The sequence below is a fragment of the Homo sapiens genome, chromosome 11 (assembly GCF_000001405.40).
Source record: "Homo sapiens chromosome 11, GRCh38.p14 Primary Assembly".
Lineage (NCBI taxonomy): Eukaryota > Metazoa > Chordata > Mammalia > Primates > Hominidae > Homo > Homo sapiens.
Window position 1 is genome coordinate 9258209 of NC_000011.10, and position 18205 is coordinate 9276413.

The following is an 18205-nucleotide window of genomic DNA, read 5'->3' on the forward strand; positions in this document are numbered from 1 at the left end:
GTGGTTTGCTGCACCTGTCAACCAGTCACCTACATTAGGTATTTCTCCTAATGTTATCCCTCCCCTAGTCCCCCACCCCCCCAACAGGCCCCAGTGTGTGATGTTCCCCTCCCTACATCCATGTGTTCTCATTGTTCAACTCCCACTTATGAGTGAGAACATGTGGTGTTCCGTTTTCTGTTCTTGTGATAGTTTGCTGAGAATGACGGTTTCCAGCTTCATCCATGTCCCTGCAAAGGACATGAACTCATCCTTTTTTATGGCTGCATAGTATTCCATGATGTGTATGTGCCATCTTCTTTATCCAGTCTCTTACTGATGGACATTTGAGTTGGTTCCAAGTCTTGCTATTGCACACACAGTATTCTTTCTTACCATGAAACAGAAACCTGGACTAGAAAAAAACTACCATAACGTCTGTTCCTGCCCTGCCAGACAAATTTTTTGCTTGTTCCCCCCGCATCCACCACTCATCAAAGGTCTGCAAAGCATGCAAAATATCACTCAAGTAGCAGAAAAGAATGAAATGTGGCAAGGGAGACAAATATTCTCCCACTTTCTCAGGGCCTCAGTTTCCTCATCTGTAAAATCAGAAGGTTATATAATTGCAAAGGGTGCTTTCATGTTAACATTCGATAATTTTGAAGTTCGAATTTCACTGCTCAATACAGTCAAGGAGGAGTATGATTTGACTAGTCCTCTAGCTTTCCTAGACAGTCACCTTTTTCTCTTTCTTAATTATTTTTATTTTTTATAAAAACAGGGTATTAGGCTGGGCGCAGTGGCTCACACCTGTAATCCCAGGACTTTGGGAGGCCGAGGCGGGCAGATCAACTGAGGTCAGGAGTTCAAGACCAGCCTGACCAACATGGTGAAACCCCATCTCTACTAAAAATACAAAATTAGCCGGGCATGGTGGCACATGCCTGTAATCCCAGCTACTTGAGAGGCTGAGGCAGGAGAATCGCTTGAGCCCAGGAGGCAGAGGTTGCAGTGAGCTGAGGTCGTGCCATTGCACTCCAGCCTGGGCAACAACAGCAAAACTCCATCTCAAAAAAATAAACAACAGGCCAGGCGTGGTGACTCAAGCCTGTAATCTCAGCACTTTGGAAGGCCAACGCAGGCGGATCACAAGGTCAGGAGATCAAGACCATCCTGGCTAACACGGTGACACCCCATCTCTACTAAAAAAAAAAAGTACAAAAAAATTAGCCGGGCGTGGTGGTGGGCGCCTGTAGTCCCAGCTACTCCGGAGGCTGAGGCAGGAGAATGGCGTGAACCCGGGAGGCGGAGTTTGCAGTGAGCCGAGATCGTGCCACTGCACGCCAGCCTGGGCGACAGAGTGAGACTCCCATCTCAAAACAAACAAACAAACAAACAACAAAAAAACAGGGTCTTGCTACAGTGGCCAAGGTGATCTCAAACTCCTGGACCCAAGCATCATCCTGCCTCAGCCTCCCAGACTGCTGGAATTACAGATGTGAGCCACTGTACCAGGACCCTCTCTCTTCTAAAGGTGACATTAAGAGACTATTTCAGGCCAGGCGAAGCGGCTCACACCTGTAATCCCAATACTTTGGGAGGCCAATGCGGGTGGGTCACCTGAGGTAAGGAGTTCAAGACCAGCCTGACCAACATGGCGAAATCCTGTCTCTACTAAAAATACAAGAATTAGCCAGGTGTGCTAGTGCACACCTGTGGTCCCAGCTACTTGGGAGGCTGAGGCTCAGAATCACTTGAACCAGACAGGCAGAGGTTGCAGTGAGCTGAGATCACGCCATTGCACTCCAGCCTGGGCAAAAGAGCAGGACTCCATCTCAAAAAAAAAAAAAAAAAAAAAAAGAGAGAGACTATTTCAGTGTAGTCTCAATTTTCTAGTAAGTTCATACAGCACACTGGCCAGTTTCCCATCTATCCTTATCCCTAGCCACTTCTCTTCAATTCCTGGCAAGAGCTTCTGCACAGAGCCTGGGAAAATTGGAGTACAAGATGAAAGAACCTAGGATACTTATATCTCAATGCTAGGTGCAGATCAGTTCAGAGGAACTTACAGATTCCAAGGTAAGAAATACGTCACAAGTATTTGGGAACCTTAATTCTCAAGCAGAGACAAGGAAAATAAACTCATGAACCCCATTTCACAGTAAAACCTTCTCCTGGGGTCACCTAGTGGTGACCATCAGAAACAAAGAAAAAGAAGATTCACCAGGACATTCGCCCATCAGAGGTAGAAAAAGAAACTGAACTCCACTATCATCTGCCTCCCCACTTACGATGTGCCAAAAATAATGGAAAACATAAATCAGAAGCAATTCTTCCAGATTTGCTTACCTAACTGACAAGTTCAAAAAGCCAACAAGCAGACACCATATCCTCAAGGTGGCTAAATCTGTGCTTTGCTCACATATTACCTTCTTCTCCTTCTAGCCCAAAGAGCTTCCTCAACCAGAAAACAAAATTAATTTTCACACATTCCTCAATTCCTTGCACAAAAAACAACTACATTACTTGCCTAAATGCTGAGTCTGCAAGAAAGGGAAAGAAGTGACAGGAAGAGATTCCTACAAAATCCAATTACCTCAGTCTATATTAAACACAGCAAGCTCTATGCTTATTTGGGTTTTTTTATTTTTTATTTTTAGTTGTATTTGTTTATTTGAGACAGGGTCTCACTCTGTTGCTCAGGCTGGAGTGCAGTGTCACAATCTCAGTTCACTGCAACCTCTGCCTCTGAGACTCAAGTGACCTTCTCACCTCAGCTTCCTGAGCAGCTGGGACCACAGGTGCATGCCACCACACCCAGCTAATTTTTTGTACTTTCTGTAGAGATAAGAGTCTTGCCGTGCTGCCCAGGCTGGTCTCAAACTCCTGGGCTCAAGCAATTCACCCACCTCAGCCTCCCAAAGTACTGGGATTACAGGTGTGAGCTACTGCGCCCAGCCTCCATGTTTATTTGTTGCAGACAGAGAGGAATGAATCTTAACCTTTCTCCACAAAACAAGAAGGAACACCGAGCATCTTTGATTTGCTTATTCTGGGTTCACTTTTTAAGAATGTAGATGCTACCTGAGCTATGTAAGTTAACTGTGTGGAGTGCACCTTCTTAGAGACTCCTTAATACCTTCTTGGAGAACCTGGCTACAAATTACAATTTCCTGTAGTTAGTTACTGAGTATGATATCATCAGTTTGGGAGCTACAAGGCAGGCTGAGGAGAGAAAATGCACCCTGGAGACTCTCAGGAAGAACCTGCTATTTGTACTCTGCTTTGTTTTATTCAAAGATTCCCTCTGGGAGTGGTGGCTCACGCCTGTAATCCTAGCATTTTGGGAGGCCGAGGTGGGCAGATCACTTGAGGTCAAGAATTCAAGACCAGCCTGGCCAACATGGTGAAACCCCATCTCTACTAAAGATACAAAAATTAGCCTGATGTGGTGGCACGCGCGGCTCATAATCCCAGCTACTCGGGAGGCTGAGGCAGAATTGCTTGAACCTGGGAGACGGAGGTTTCAGTGAGCCACTATTGCAGCACTGCATTCCAGCTGGGGCAACAGAGTGAGACTGTGTCTCAAAAAAAAAAAAAAAAAAAGATTCCCTCTGGATAGTTCAGATTCCCCTACCAACCCACCAGAAATGAAATGAAGAGGGAAAAAAAATCCTTCCAACACTGCATACTCTAACAAAGGCCACCTATCGGAAATGTGGTCTCGGCATTCCACTACTGCAACCACATTTTTAAAAAAACAGAAAATACCCCTCTTTACACATTTTATACAACTCATCCCCCTTTCTTTATTATCCCAATAAACTTTCACAAGGATATAATTTTAGCTTGCCAAAAAGCCAGATAATTAACACATATCCATTAAGACAGTAACATTTCTTTTTTAATGAAATGTTGAAAGACAGTTTTTAAACATTTTTGAAGGTCTACTTGATGAGATTATTTTTATTTACATTCTTTTTTTATAGATGAGGACCCTGACAGGGTTATCTCTAACTTGCTCCCAATCACAAAGATAGTCAATAGGAGAGCAGGAATATTACCCTAAACTCATGCTCTCGCTAACAGTTAACTTCCCAGCTTCATTCTTATGCTCTATCATTCGCAAAACATTCTATCTTCTCAAACCAAGTGTTCATACAATTTGACACTCAAAAACACGCATAAAAAAAAGTTTATTCCACCACCTTAGTTTCTTTTACTGAGAAGAATTATGTTGTTTTTAATATTTCTCAACATGTTAGTGTTTTCTAAAGACCTCCAGCCAGGCCAATGAGATGCAGTTTAATGTCATGAGAAGAGCACTGGACCAAGCAATTAACTAGTGTATACAGGCCCCACTGTCCTTCCTGGGCCTCATTTTCCCCTCTGAGGTCCCTTCCAACACCAATACCCTGAACCGAATTCCAAAAATTACATCAAAGTCACAAACTTACTACATATGAAAAAGATGAAAAACATCTGTACTATAAGAATTTGAAGACCTTAAAAGATAAACTTGAACAATTATTAGGTACTCATCAAAATAATTTTTTTTTTTTGGACGGAGTCTCGCTCTGTCGCCCAGGCTAGAGTGCTGGAGTGCAGTGGCGCGATCTGGGCTCACTGCGAGCTCCGCCTCCCGGGTTCACGCCATTCTCCTGCCTCAGCCTCCTGAGTAGCTGGGACTACAGGCGCCCGCCACCACGCCCGGCTAATTTTTTGTATTTTTAGTAGAGACGGGGTTTCACCCTGTAAGCCCGGATGGTCTCGATCTCCTGACTTCGTGATCCGCCCGCCTCAGCCTCCCAAAGTGCTGGGATTACAGGCGTGAGCCACCGCGCCCGGCCTAAAACTAAAATTTTTTTAAAGTAAATTAGAAACCATAAAACTACCCCGACAAAAAGCCTAATATTAATTATATTACTGCTTCATATTTTCTCCACCTGCTATTGAGGAAATAGCTCATTTTTTTCTAACCTTGTTAAAGCATGAATTTATCATGCTTTTTTCTTCTTTTTCTTTTTTCCCAGACAGAGTCTCGCTTTATCACCCAGACTGGAGTGTAGTGGCGCAATCACCCAGACTGGCGCAATCTCAGCTCACTGCAACCTCCCCCTCCTGGGTTAAAGCGATCCTCCTACCTCAGCCTCCTGAGTAGCTGGGATTACAGGCACGCGCCACGACGCCCGGCTAATTTTTGTATTTTTAGTAGAGACGGGGGTTTCACCATGTTGGCCAAATTGGTCTCGAACTCCTGACCTCAGGTGACCCGCCCGCCTCGGCCTCCCAAAGTGCTGGGATTACCCCTGAGCCGCCGGGTGGTGGGCCACCGCGCCCCGCCTAATTTTTTTTTCATAAGAAACACTGGGCCGGGCGCGGTGGCTCACGCCTGTAATCCCAGCACTTTGGGAGGCCGAGGCGGGTGGATCATGAGGTCAGGAGATCGAGACCATCCTGGCTAACAAGGTGAAACCCCGTCTCTACTAAAAATACAAAAAATTAGCCGGGCGCGGTGGCGGGCGCCTGTAGTCCCAGCTACTCGGGAGGCTGAGGCAGGAGAATGGCGTGAACCCGGGAAGCGGAGCTTGCAGTGAGCCGAGATTGCGCCACTGCAGTCCGCAGTCCGGCCTGGGCGACAGAGCGAGACTCCGTCTCAAAAAAAAAAAAAAAAAAAAAAAGAAACACTGGACTTTTTCTGGTGCCCAAAAACAAAACTGTCTTGTCATCGTTGAAGCCGAGTAAGATTAGTCAACAGGATAATCACTTTCGAAAGAGAAACTTTACAGTGACAGAAAAGTGAAAAGGAGTCCCCCTCATCAGGATGACACAACCTTAAAGTACAACCCGACAAACCTCCACCCACTTGAAACCCACTAACTGGAAACTCCAGACAAAAACTTATTTTCAAAACTGTTACAATTCAAAGACTCCAATGACAGTGCAGTGGAAAATTCACGGGGACTGTATAATTTTCACGGCCTTCTGCAGTGAGTGCCAAATCTGGTCAGGGCCCCATCTTTGACTCCCCTCATCACTTTCCCTTTCAAATATGACTTGAAACGCATCAGAACACACCAAGCCTCTCCAACTACAATGCTGCTACCCTTTTATTCACAAACGCCTCTGTCCTCATAAAGGACATAAATTACTTTTCAAAAAAGGCATGGCCCCGGGATACAAGCCCTTTCCAAGGCTAAGGGAGTTCCTACTCTTCTTGGTGCCGCCCAAGTTCACTTTATTACTTCATATCCCATCCAGACGCGCAGAGCTGCAATCTGACTCAGGGGGCCCAGCCCAGGGCTGGGGTATAACGGTTTTGAGGAACTAGTATCACAAGCTTCTTGGGAAGTGGCCAGATAAACTCACCAAGTTTTTGTTTTCCTTTTTTTTAAGTCTGGGTGGAACTTACTTTCACTAGGACGTGGGACGCCTTCCCTCCCTAATGGGTGCCAGAGGACAAGCTTTCCTTTATTTTAAACGAAGTCACTCAACCTACACCAAACTGAGAACACACAACCCTCCCTCTTTCTGGTCGCCGAAGACGTGGCCACTGCGCAGCGGGCCGTAGGTTTGGACCCCTCATGGCTCAGAGCCCCTCATCCGTTTCCCCCCTCCAGTCCAAAGCCCCCTTCGCCCGCGCCCGCCCTGGTCCTCCCGGCCGACACTCGCCCGGCTCCCGGGACAAAGCGGGGCTGAAGGAAGGTTTCTTCTGGGGTCCCCGACGACAGCGGGCGCGGGAAAGCGCCCCGGGCTCGGCGCGCACTCACCCGACAGCTCGTCCGGCTCCAGCCCGGTCTCCGTGTCCAGTCCGCAGATGACAAAGTAGTCGGCGAAGCGACTGGGCGCCGAGCCCCCTCCGCCGCCGCCGCCACTCATGGCGCCGGGGCCGAGACCGGCCGGGCAGTGCGGAGCGGCACCGAGCCCCCGCAACCCGGGCGCCCGCCCGTCCGCCCTCAGGCCGCCCCTCCCGCCGCCGCCGCTACCGCGGCTCGGGCCGCCGCCCCCGGCCCTGGCCCGGTCCCCTCGGCCGCCGCGGCTGCCGTGACGGGGCGGGGGGGCACCGGGCCGCCCCGCACCGCATCCTGGATGCCTTCCCCTCCGCGCCGCCGCCGCTGCAGCTAGCCGAGAGCGCCGCGGCCCGAGCGAGCCTGGAGAAGGGCGGAGAGCGCGTGGACAGCCCCCACCGTGACCCTCCTCCTACCGCGCCTGCGCAGGCGCCGTCTGGGAGGGGGCGGGCTCCTGGGGGAAAGGATGACGTGATGCTCTTCGGACCCCGCCGGCCGCAGCTTCCCGGGAGGTCGCCGCAGCGCAGCCGGTGACTGCTTGGTCGCCCGCAACTGCCACTCCCCCGGGATTGAGACTCCTTTAGGGAGGGCTGAGGAGGTGCGAGAAGAGTGGGCGCAGCCTGCAGAGCCGGGCATTTGGCCCATGCTCTGCCCCCAACCACCCACCCAGCAAGCAGAGGTCCAGAGATCTTAGCGCGGCCTTGCCATGAGGATGGGGTCTCACGACTGAGCTCGGAAGCTCACCTAATCCTAGCTGCAGCGTGTCAGCCTAGACCCCAGACAGGGCCTTCTCCCTGTCCTCTCTTTTGGCAGGGGCGGATGAGCCGGTTTTATATTTACCCTTATTTTACAGACGGGGAAACTGAGTCTCAGAAAGAAGCAAGGACTTATCCAAGGTTACGCTGAGTCTAAGAGACATAAGCCTGGTCTGGAATCCTGGGCTTGTGGTCAGCTCCCCGTTCCTCGCCGCTCCCACCTCCCAGCCTGCCCTTTTCCCACGCTCTCTCCTTTTTTCTCTGGAAGCCTCCAGAGGCGCCTGCCATTTGGGAGCTCCTCTTCCTCTTCACTCTGTGAAAACTCTCAGATCCACCCCTAAACCTGTTTTCCTGTAAGAGGATAGGGAGGAGGCGAAGGGAAACTTACCTATTGGTCCTTGTCCTAGGACCCTCCGATTTCCTTTCCCATAGAAGCTAGGCAGATGTGTCTTTGTTGGAAACTGGAGATCAGAGGCCAGAAAGGCAACACAGGTATAGTGGTCACTAGCATGGGCTCTAGAAAAAAATGCTCGGATTTCAATCCTGACGATCATTTACTTTTGACCTTGAGCAAGTTAATCTCTAAGTGCCTGGCGTCATGGTTTTTGAGACAATTACATAAGGTAAATGCAAGTACAGGTAAAACAATGAGAATACTGCCTGGAACATGGAAATCACTCAGTAAATATTACAGATTTTTTTTTTCAAGACGGAGTTCTGTCTTGTTGCCCAGGCTGGAGTGCAATGGCGTAATCTCGGCTCACTGCACCTCTGCCTCCCAGGTTCAAGTGATTCTCCTGCCTCAGCCACCCAAGTAGCTAGGATTACAGGCGCGCACCACCACACTCGGCTAATTTTTTGTATTCAGTAGAGACAGGGATTCACCGTGTTGGTCAGGCTGGTCTCGAACTCCTGACCTCAGGTGATCCGCCCTCCTCTGCCTCCTAAAGTGCTGGGATTACAGGCATGAGCCAATGAGCCCCCAGCCTGGATTATTATTATTGTTCCAGAAGGAAGTACTCTTACGGTTTGTTCTGGGAGGCTGCCACTAAGAGCTGTAGAAGGCAGCTGGCTTCCCCAAAGGCTGAGCCTAGGCTCTCTCCTAGGTTCTCCTGGGTACTTCTCTCAAATATTGTTTCCCTTGGGGAGGTTTACCTAGAGGTTATAGCCATTGTCTCTCGGAGCCATAGCACCTGTTCCTCCCTGTATCTAACCTGCCTGAACTAGGGGGAGAAAAGTGGGGAGGAGAAGGTTGCTTCAAAACGCCCATTCATGGTGATGCTCCACCCGTATCCTGCATGCTGGGGACACAGAGACAGTAGAGGGGGATTAGTGAGTTAAACAGTCACAGAGGCTGGGCGTGGTGGCTCACACCTGTAATCCCAGAACTTGGGGAGGCCAAGGCTGGCGGATCGCTTAAGGTCAGAAGTTCAAGACCAGCCTGACCAATATGGTGAAATCCCATCTCTACCAAAAATATAAAATTAGCAGGGTGTGGTGGCAGGCAACTTTAGTCCCAGCTCCTCAGGAGGCTGAGGCAGGAGAATCGCTTCAACTCAAGAGGCAGAGGTTGCAGTAAGCCGAGATCGTGCCACTGCACTCTAGCCTGGGCAACAGAATGAGGCTCTACCTCTAAATAAATAAATAAATAAATAAATAAATATGCCAGGCGTGGTGGCTGACACCTGTAATCCCAGCACTTTAGGTGGCCAAGGCAGGCAGATCACGAGGTCAGGAGATCAAGACCATCCTGGCCAACATGGTGAAACCCCATCTGTACTAAAATTATAAAAATTAGCTGGGTATGGTGGTGCCTGTAATCCCAGCTACTCAGGAGGATAAGGCAGGAGAATTGCTTAAACTCGGGAGGTGGAGGTTGCAGTGAGCCAAGATGGCGCCACTGCACTCCAGCCTGGCAACAGAGACACCCTGAAAAAAAAAAAAGAAAAAAAGAAAGTTACAGAGCACAGAAGGAGGACATCTTTCCAGATTGGGGAATGGTCAGGGAAGGTTTCCAGAAGGAGGTATATACTCTGACCTGAGTTCCAGAGGATCAACAGGAAGTTTCTCAGGTAAAAAGGGGCAGGGAAAGATGTTTAACTCAGTATGTGTAACAACAGGGAGCAACAGATAAAAGGGTATGTTCAGGCATCAACAAGTAATTCATTAACATTAAGATGGGAGATGGAGAGTTTAAAGGGAATGAAACCAGGGCAGGGGAGGAAGAAGGAGAACAGAGGAAGGAGGCATGGATTCAAATACCAGGCTAAAGAATTTATCCTCGGCCAGGCGTCGTGGTTCACACTCACGCTGGTAATCCCAACACTTTGGGCAGCTGAGGCAGGAGGACTGCTTGAACCCAGGAGTTTGAGACCAGAGTGGAGAACATAATGTGACCCCTGTCATAAATAAATAAATAAATAGTATTTTTTAGAAATAATTTATCCTATAAGATATATGAGTTGAGGATGAGTGAGGTAAAGTAAAGGAATTCAAGCCAAGGAGTGATATCTGACCCAAATCTGAGAATGATCACTCTAGGGGTGATGTGGAAAAAGAAATTTGAGAAAGGAATAAACGTCCTCAACTGAAAAGTCCAGAAACTTTTTATCCAAGGTGTCCAGGGTGATCTGGTGCTAGACGACCTCTCATATTAACTCAACTCGTAAAACACAAGTTAAAAACGAATGCATAACTGTATTAATTTGCCCTGGGAAATGTAACTGCTCAGAAGCCCAGAATACTCAACTGTGAAGTGATCTCCTTCCCGGTAGGAAATAAGTTTGGCAGAGTGATTGCTTCTTAGAGAGTCAGAAAATATAGAAAGGGATGCTCTTAAGATTTTTTCTTTTTTTTTTTTTTTTTTTTTCTGAGAGAGTCTCGCTCTGTCACCCAGGCTAGAGTGCAGTGGCGCCATCTCGGCTCACTGCAACCTCCGCCTCCCAGGTTCAAACGATTCTCCTGCCTCAGCCTCCCAAGTAGCTGGGACTACAGGCGCGCGCACCATGCCTGGCTAATTTTTTTTTTTTTTTGTATTTTTGTTTGTTTGTTTTTTGAGATGAATTCTCGCTCTGTCGCCCAGGCTGGAGTGCAGTGGTGATCTCTGCTCACTGCAAGGTCCGCCTCCCAGGTTCACACCATTCTCAGCCTCAGCCTCCCGAGTATCAGGGACTACAGGTGCCCGCCACCTGTAGTGGCTAATTTTGTTGTATTTTTAATAGAGACGGGGTTTCGCCCTGTTAGCCAGGATGGTCTCAACCTCTTGACCTCGTGATCTGCCCGCCTCGGCCTCCCAAAGTGCTGAGATTACAGGCGTGAGCCACTGCGCCAAGCCAAGATTTAATGTTTTTTTGTTTGTTTGAGACAGAGCCTCGCTCTGTCACCCAGGCTGGAGAGCAGTGGCACAACCTCAGCTCACTGCAACCTCTGCCTCCCGAGTTCAAGCTATTTTCCTGCCTCAGCCTCCTGAGTAGCTGGAACTACAGGCCTGCGCCACCATGCCGGGCTAATTTTTTTTTTAGTAGAGACGGGGTTTCGCCATGTTGCCCAGGCTGGTCTCGAACTCCTGACCTCAGGTGATCTGCCCACCTTGACTTCCCAAAGTGCTGTGATTACAGGCGTGAAGATTTAATGTTTAAATCCACTCCCACTCTTACTAGCTGTGTAAGCTGGGGTACATCAGTTAAACACTCTGAAATGAGAAGAGTCATTCTGACCCCTCACAGAATTGCACTGAAGATTCATAAATTAATGGAAAAAGGAATTTTTAAAATCTGGGACATAATATACTTTTAATAAGTGGCAATCTGGGACACCCATTTTAGCATGAGGAACATGAGAGAGCAAGTGGACATCTGAGGGAACATAACTCCAGGAGAGGGTGTGCGGCAGAGTGTGCCTGGAGTGTTCATGGAGCAATAAGGAAGCCAGGGTGGCTGGAGAGGGTTAGGGTGGGGAGGATTGGTGGAAGATGGTAGAAGGTGTGGTGGAGTTGGCTTGCAATTCAAAAACATCAATTTTCCCTTCCATAGTGTGTGGACCCGCCTCCTCAGGGACACTGCCCAGCCCTACTTGCATCCAGATGTGGCCATGTGACTAGTTCTCAACAATGGAATGTGTGTAGGACTTTATGTATGTCACTGCTAGGTCAGGGCACTTAAGAAGCAGATTAGACTTCTCCCTTCTTTCTATTTTTGCCTTCTACCAGCTAGAATTAGAAGATTCTGAGGCTCTAAGTAATGGTAAAGCACATGGAGGAAAGGCTCCAGCTGACCAAGAATACCCACACCGGACTGTCCTGTGAACAAAAAATAAACTTCAGTTGTGTGAAGCCACTGGTACTGTGGGGTTTATTTGTTACAACAGCTAGTATTAACCATCACCAAAGTAGATGTTGGGTAAGAGGATAAATCATGGAGAGCCTTGTAGGCACACTGGAAAGATTTTGCCATTGTCTGAATAAAATGAGAAATCACCGGAGAGTTTTGAGCAAAGGAGTGACACAATCTGACAGCTTAAAAAGAAACACGTAGCACTGTTTTAAGAACTTTACATATATTAACTCTAACTGGAATTTACCCCCGGACTCTAGCTTTATATACCCAACTGACTTGTCATCTTTTTTTAATTATAATTTTTTTTTTTTGAGATGCAGTCTCACTCTGTCGCCCAGGCTGGAGTCCAGTGGCACAATCTTGGCTCACTGCAAGTTCAGCCTCCCGGGTTCACGCCAGTCTCCTGCCACAGCCTCCCGAGTAGCTAGGACTACAGGCGCCCGCCACCACGCCCGGCTAATTTTGTTTTGTATTTTTAGTAGAGACGGGGTTTCACTTCGTTAGCCAGGATGGTCTCGATCTCCTGACTTCCTGATCCGCCTGCCTCGGCCTCCCAAAATGCTGGGATTACAGACGTGAGCCACCGCACCCGGCCATTTAATTATAATTTTTTTTTAATTAAGATGGGTTTTCACCATGTTGCCCAGGCTGGTCTGGAACCCCTAGGCTCAAGGGATCCTCCCACCTCAGCCTCCTAAAGTGCTGGGATTACAGGTGTGAGCCACTGAACCCTGCCTCAACAAGTGTTTTGAAACCATCAATTTGAAGAGACAGGAGATTACTTGCCTTTTTATTACTCCCTCCAGTCTTGCTTCTTGCCTTGAAGGAATGCACGAACAGCAGGGCTATATCTTGCAAGTCTATACCTTGCAAAAGCAACACCAAACTAGAGAGAAGGGAGAATATGATCACAACAGATCAGTCTAAGTAAGAGTGGAGGGAATGAATCCTTAGGAAAGGTCCACACAGATCCACTCACAGAGCCAAACCCCGTTTTGAAAACCTGAATGAGGTATTGACATATATCTTGGATCAAGTATATATAATTGCAAATATACATAATTTGCTGTTTGTAACAGCAAAAACTGTTATAATTACTGTTTGTAACAGCAAAAACTGAAAACAGAGCTGGGCGTGGTGGCTCACACCTGTAATCCCAGCACTTTGGGAGGCCGAGGCGGGCAGATCACCATGTCAGGAGTTTGAGACCAGCCTGGCCAACATGGTGAAACCCCGTCTCTACTAAAAATACAAAAATTAGCTGGGCCTGGTGGCTCGCGCCTGTAATACCAGCTTCTCAGGAGGCTGAGGCAGGAAAATCGCTTAAAACTGGGTGGCAGAGGTTGCAGTGATCGTGCCACTGCACTCCAGCCTGGGAGACAGAGCAAGACTCCGTCTTGCAGGAAAAACAAAACAAAACAAAACAAAAAAACTGAAAACAATCCAAATGCCTAGCTATAGAAGACAGATTAAAGAAACTATAGTTTCTGCCAACGCTGGAATACTATGCAGCTATAAAACAAAACAAGAGCAAGAAAAAAATAAGGAAAAACTGTGTAATATGTTATCAAATGTATAAAAAAGAGAAAATAAAAGAATTTTTTTTTGTATATGCATAGTCTATTTTTGGAAGCATAAACAAAACATTGTTAAAATTGATTGCTTCAGGTGTGGTGGCTCACGCCTGTAATCCCAGCATTTTGGGAGGCCAAGGAGGGCAGATCACTTGAGACCAGCCTGGCCGACATGGTGAAACCACGTCTCTACTAAAAATACAAAAAGTAGCCAGGCATGGTGGCGGGCACCTGTAATTCCAGCTACTCAGGAAGCTGAGGCAGGAGAATCGCTTGAACCCAGGAGGCGGAGGTTGCAGTGAGCCGAGATTGCACCATTGCACTCCAGCCTGGGTGACAGCAAGACTCTGTCTCAAAATAAAAAATAAAATAAAATAAAAATCTGAAAAAAAAATTGATTGCTTCTAGGGAAGGAAACTGAATGGCTGGGATCAGGAATAGAATGGAAATGTTTCACTGTACATTGTTTCATACTTTTTGAGGTTTGAACCACAAGAATGTATTACCTATTTGCATTAATCAGGGTTCTCCAGAGAAACAGAACCAACAGGATATATATAGATATAGAGAAAGAGATTTATTTTGAGAAACTGGCTCATATGATTACGAAGACTGAGAAAGAAGTTCCACGATCTGCTATCTGTAAGCTGGAGGTTCAGGAAAGCCAGTGGTGTAATTCAATCTGAGTCTGGAGGCCCAAGAATCAGATATCCAAGGGCAGGAGATGAAGAATGTCCCAGCTCAAGAGAGAGCAGGCCAGGCATGGTGGCTCATGCCTGTAATCCCAGCACTTTGGGAGGCTGAGGGGGGTGGATCACTTGAAGTCAGGATTTCCAGACCAGCATGGCCAACATGGTGAAACCCCATCTCTACTAAAAATACAAAAATTAGCCAGGAGTGGTGGCATGCACCCGTAATTCCAGCTACTTGGGAGGTTGAGGCATGAGAATTGCTTGAACCTGGGAGGTGGAGGTTGCAGTGAGCCCAGATCGCACCACTGCACTCCAGCCTGGATGACTGAGACTCTGTCTCAAAAAAAAAAAAAAAAAAAAAAAAAAAAAAAAAAAAGAAGAGAGAGAGAACAAATTCTCCCTTCCTCTGCCTTTTTGATGAATTCAGGACCTCAGTGGACTAGATGATGCCCACCCACATTGGTGAGGGTGATCTCGGTCTACCAATTCAGATGCTAACCTCTTCTGGAAATGCTTTACAGACACACCCAGAAATAATGTTTTACTAGCTACCTGGGCATCCATTAGCCCAGTCATGTTGACACATAAAATTAACCATCACACTATTAAAAAATATGTAATAGTCCAGGTGCGGTGGCTCATGCCTGTAATTCCAGCACTTTGGGTGGCTGAGGTGGGCGGATCACCTGAGGTCAGGAGTTCGAGACCAGCCTGACCAACAAGGTGAAACTCCGTCTCTACTAAAAATACAAAAATTAGCAGGGTATGGTGGCGTGTGCCTGTAGTCCCAGCTACTCGGGAGGCTGAGGCACGAGAATTGCTTGAACCCAGGAGGCTGAGGTTGCAGTGAGCTGAGATTGAGCCATTGCACTCCAGCCTGGGCGACAGAGCAAGACTCCACCTGAAAACAAAAAACAAAAACAACTAAGAAATACCTTTTACTGTGAATGTAAGCAATGCCTTGTGAATTCTTCTAGAGATAGCCTATACCTATGCTAGCATGGGTCAGCTCAACTCCACCCAGGCATAACCTATCTACTTTCCAGCTCAGTATAGCATTCAAGAACACATCAGCTGATGAACTCGTGGGTGCTCAAACGCTTTCTCTCCAACACTCAATGGGAGTTCACCATGTACAATCGAAAAAATTCCACGTATAGTGTAGAAAAACGTAAGCTTCACAAATATGGGCTTTCTTAAGACTAGAAACACCAATACATCTAGGGAAGTAGTGATGCACTCAGCTACCTCTGACACATCTTTACAAAAGAAGTCACATATGCCTCACTTCCCCATACCCTGTGTCCCACTAGCCTCCAACACCTTGCCCGGAACCAGCATCAGGATCCTCATGTCTCTCAAACACAAGCTTACTAAATCAGTTGAAAATTAGACATTACCCTTCATCTATCATAACCCACAGCAACAAAGAAGCCACAAAGAATAGTCAGCCTCAGGATAACTCTGATACCCCATGGTGAGGAAGTATGAAGTTGAAGCAACAGGAGGAGCAAATGACTGATGACTTCCCCAAGTGATGCAAGATGCAACTTTCCCAGATGTGTGAGCTTGTGTATTTCTGTTTGAGCTTTTTTTTTTTTTTTGAGATGTAGTCTCTCTTTGTCGCCCAGGCTGAATTGCAGTGGCGCTATCTCGGCTCACTGCAACCTTCGCCTCCTGGGTTCAAGCGGTTCTCTTACCTCAGCCTCCAGAGTAGCTAGGATTACAGGCGTGTGCCACCACACCCGGGTAATTTTTGTATTTTATTAGAGACAAGGGTCTCACTCTGTTGCCCAAGCTGGTCTGGAACTCCTTCGCTCAGGCAATCCACCTACTCGGCCTCCCAAACTGCTGGGATTACAGGCATGAGCCACCACACCCAGCCTGTTTGAGCTTATTTCTATGTGAGTAAGCATTTGTGCATAGTGGTAATCATGTATGTATATTATGTGCTTACATATATTAGATGTATGTGTGTTTGCATGTGTAAATAATTGTATGTGTGTACTTTATATGAGTGTGTGGGCCATGCGTGGTGGCTCATGCCTGTAATTCCAGCACTTGGGGAGGCCGAGGCAGGTGGATCGCCAGAGGTTAGGAGTTCGAGACCAGTCTGGGCAACATGGTGAAACCCCGTCTCTACTAAAAATACCAAAATTAGCCGGGTGTGGTGGCATGTGCCTGTAGTTCCAGCTACTCGGGAGGCTGAGGCAGGAGAATCGCTCAAACCCGGGATGCGGAGGTTGCAGTGAGCCAAGATCATGCCACTACGCTCCAGCCTGGGAGACAAGAGCAAAAGTCCGTCAAAAAAAAAAAAAGAAAGAAAGAAAGGAAGGAAAGAGAGGAAGGAAGGAAGGAGAAAGAAAGGAAAGAGAGAGAGAAAGAAAGGGAGAAAGAGAGAAAGAAAGTGAGAGAGAAAGAAAGAGAGAGAAGAGTGTGTGTGTGGAGGCTGAGACAGGGTAGGGTAGCTGGACCAAGGAAGCAAAAGAGTCCCTTTGGCTCTCCTACAAGCCCAGGAGTGACTCCAGTGCTCCCTTCAGCCTCTTCCCCCTTCTCCCTGGGTCCCCCTAGGTTGAGAGTATTTTGAGAGTATGGGTGGATGACTTTATCTGTGCTGCACCCACCCTTCTCCCTTACACTGTGAACACAGTGGCCTCCTTATTCCCATCAGTTTGAGAGCCAAGAGCTTCCTAGGAAAGGCTGGATGATATAATGAAGGGAAGTGAACGGCACTTGGACCAGATCCCAAAAGGAAGATATATTTAGCCATCTAAATAGCTGAGCTGAGCTCTTAAAAGCTTTGGGGAATAAAATAATTGTTCTATATTTTGATTGCATGGTGATTACACGATTATGTTTTCCAAAACCTATAGAACTGTATATTATAGGAAGCAAAGCATCTTTTAGCTGCCTCCTTAGTGCAGTAGGTAGCGCATCAGTCTCAAAATCTGAATGGTCCTGAGTTCAAGCCTCAGAGGGGGCAAGGTCACCTTATTAAGCTGGCGAAGGAACGCAAGCTTGCCTGTGTTATATTTTTGAGACAGAGTCATTTATTTATTTAATTAATTAATTTATTTATTTACTTATTTAGACAGTTTCTCTCTTGTCGCCCAGTCTGGAGTGCAATGGTATGATCTCGGCTCACTGTAACCTCCGCCTCCCAGCTTCAAGTAACTCTTGTGCCTCAGCCTACTGGGTAGCTGGGATTACAGGCGCCCGCCACCACGCCCAGCTAATTTTTTTTTTTTTGAGATGGAGTCTCGCTCTGTCACCCAGGCTGGAGTGCAGTGGCATGATCTTGGTTCACTGTAACCTCCGTCTCCTGGGTTCAAGCGATTACCCTGCCTCAGCCTCCTGAATAACTGGGATTACAGGTGCTCGCCACCACGACCAGCTAATTTTTGTATTTTTAGTAGAGACGGGGGTTTCACCATGTTGGTCAGGCTGGTCTCGAACTCCTGACCTTGTTATCCACCCACCTAGGCCTCCCAAAGTGCTGGGATTACAGGAGTGAGCCACCATGCCCGGCCTTTTTTTTTTTTTTTTTTTTTTTTTTTTGAGAGGGAATCTTGCTCTGTCGCCCAGGCTGGAGTGCAGTGGCGGGATCTTCGCTCACTACAACCTTTGCTTCCGGGGTTTGAGCAATTCTCCTGTCTCGGCCTCCCGAGTAGCTGGGATTACATGTGCATGCCACCACACCCAGCTAATTTTTGTATTTTTAGTAGACACAGGGTTTTGCCATGTTGGCCAGGCTGGTCTCAAACTCCTGACCTCAGGTGATCCACCCACCTTGGCCTCCCAAGGTGCTGGGATTACACACATGAGCCACCACGCCTGGCCTAATTTTTAAATTTTTAGTGGAGACGGGGTTTTGCTATGTTGGTCAGGCTGGTCTGTAACTTTGGGCCTCTAGCAATCTGCTTGCCTTGACCTCCCAAAGCGCTGGAATTACAGGTGTGAGCCACTGCTCCTGGTCCCAGATCTTGTAATTAATACAGATATGTGGACCATAAAAGGTAATATAATTCCCGTGAAATGTAAAATACATAGATTTTTTTTTTGGTAAGCCTATACAAACTT

The 18205-nt window shown here is 47.4% G+C and overlaps 1 protein-coding gene and 1 non-coding gene across 6 annotated transcripts in view, besides 7 other annotated features; one reads left to right on the plus strand and one right to left on the minus strand.

Moving 5' to 3' along the window:
- DENND5A (DENN domain containing 5A) overlaps positions 1 to 7142 on the minus strand; it is a 126526-nt gene extending 119384 nt beyond the window's left edge. For 4 of the 5 annotated variants that reach the window (NM_001348749.2, NM_001243254.2, NM_015213.4 and 1 more), the window contains exon 1: positions 6753 to 7142. In NM_001348749.2, the coding sequence (NP_001335678.1) occupies positions 6753 to 6861 (109 nt within the window). In that variant the 5' untranslated portion in view covers positions 6862 to 7142. The remainder of the gene's footprint in view (positions 1 to 6752) is intronic. The other variant, NR_145966.2, reaches the window with a different exon arrangement.
- Positions 2655 to 2714: a silencer, noted in NCBI's record as "silent region_3121". NCBI's record gives its function as "represses an Ori minimal core promoter by ATAC-STARR-seq in GM12878 lymphoblastoid cells {active_cell/tissue: GM12878}" and the evidence as "EXISTENCE:reporter gene assay evidence [ECO:0000049][PMID:35858748]".
- Positions 5674 to 6013: an enhancer, noted in NCBI's record as "active region_4403". NCBI's record gives its function as "activates an Ori minimal core promoter by ATAC-STARR-seq in GM12878 lymphoblastoid cells {active_cell/tissue: GM12878}" and the evidence as "EXISTENCE:reporter gene assay evidence [ECO:0000049][PMID:35858748]".
- Positions 6174 to 6293: an enhancer, noted in NCBI's record as "active region_4404". NCBI's record gives its function as "activates an Ori minimal core promoter by ATAC-STARR-seq in GM12878 lymphoblastoid cells {active_cell/tissue: GM12878}" and the evidence as "EXISTENCE:reporter gene assay evidence [ECO:0000049][PMID:35858748]".
- Positions 6584 to 6943: a silencer, noted in NCBI's record as "silent region_3122". NCBI's record gives its function as "represses an Ori minimal core promoter by ATAC-STARR-seq in GM12878 lymphoblastoid cells {active_cell/tissue: GM12878}" and the evidence as "EXISTENCE:reporter gene assay evidence [ECO:0000049][PMID:35858748]".
- Positions 6994 to 7093: a silencer, noted in NCBI's record as "silent region_3123". NCBI's record gives its function as "represses an Ori minimal core promoter by ATAC-STARR-seq in GM12878 lymphoblastoid cells {active_cell/tissue: GM12878}" and the evidence as "EXISTENCE:reporter gene assay evidence [ECO:0000049][PMID:35858748]".
- Positions 7374 to 7443: an enhancer, noted in NCBI's record as "active region_4405". NCBI's record gives its function as "activates an Ori minimal core promoter by ATAC-STARR-seq in GM12878 lymphoblastoid cells {active_cell/tissue: GM12878}" and the evidence as "EXISTENCE:reporter gene assay evidence [ECO:0000049][PMID:35858748]".
- Positions 15501 to 15701: a silencer, noted in NCBI's record as "peak1192 fragment used in MPRA reporter construct". NCBI's record gives its function as "represses an SCP1 promoter by STARR-seq MPRAs in K562 erythroleukemia cells {active_cell/tissue: K562}" and the evidence as "EXISTENCE:reporter gene assay evidence [ECO:0000049][PMID:32103011]".
- TRL-CAA5-1 (tRNA-Leu (CAA) 5-1) lies at positions 17035 to 17108 on the plus strand. Its single transcript has one exon. It is a non-coding gene; the product is annotated as a tRNA-Leu (tRNA).
- The last annotated feature ends 1097 nt before the right edge of the window (positions 17109 to 18205 follow it).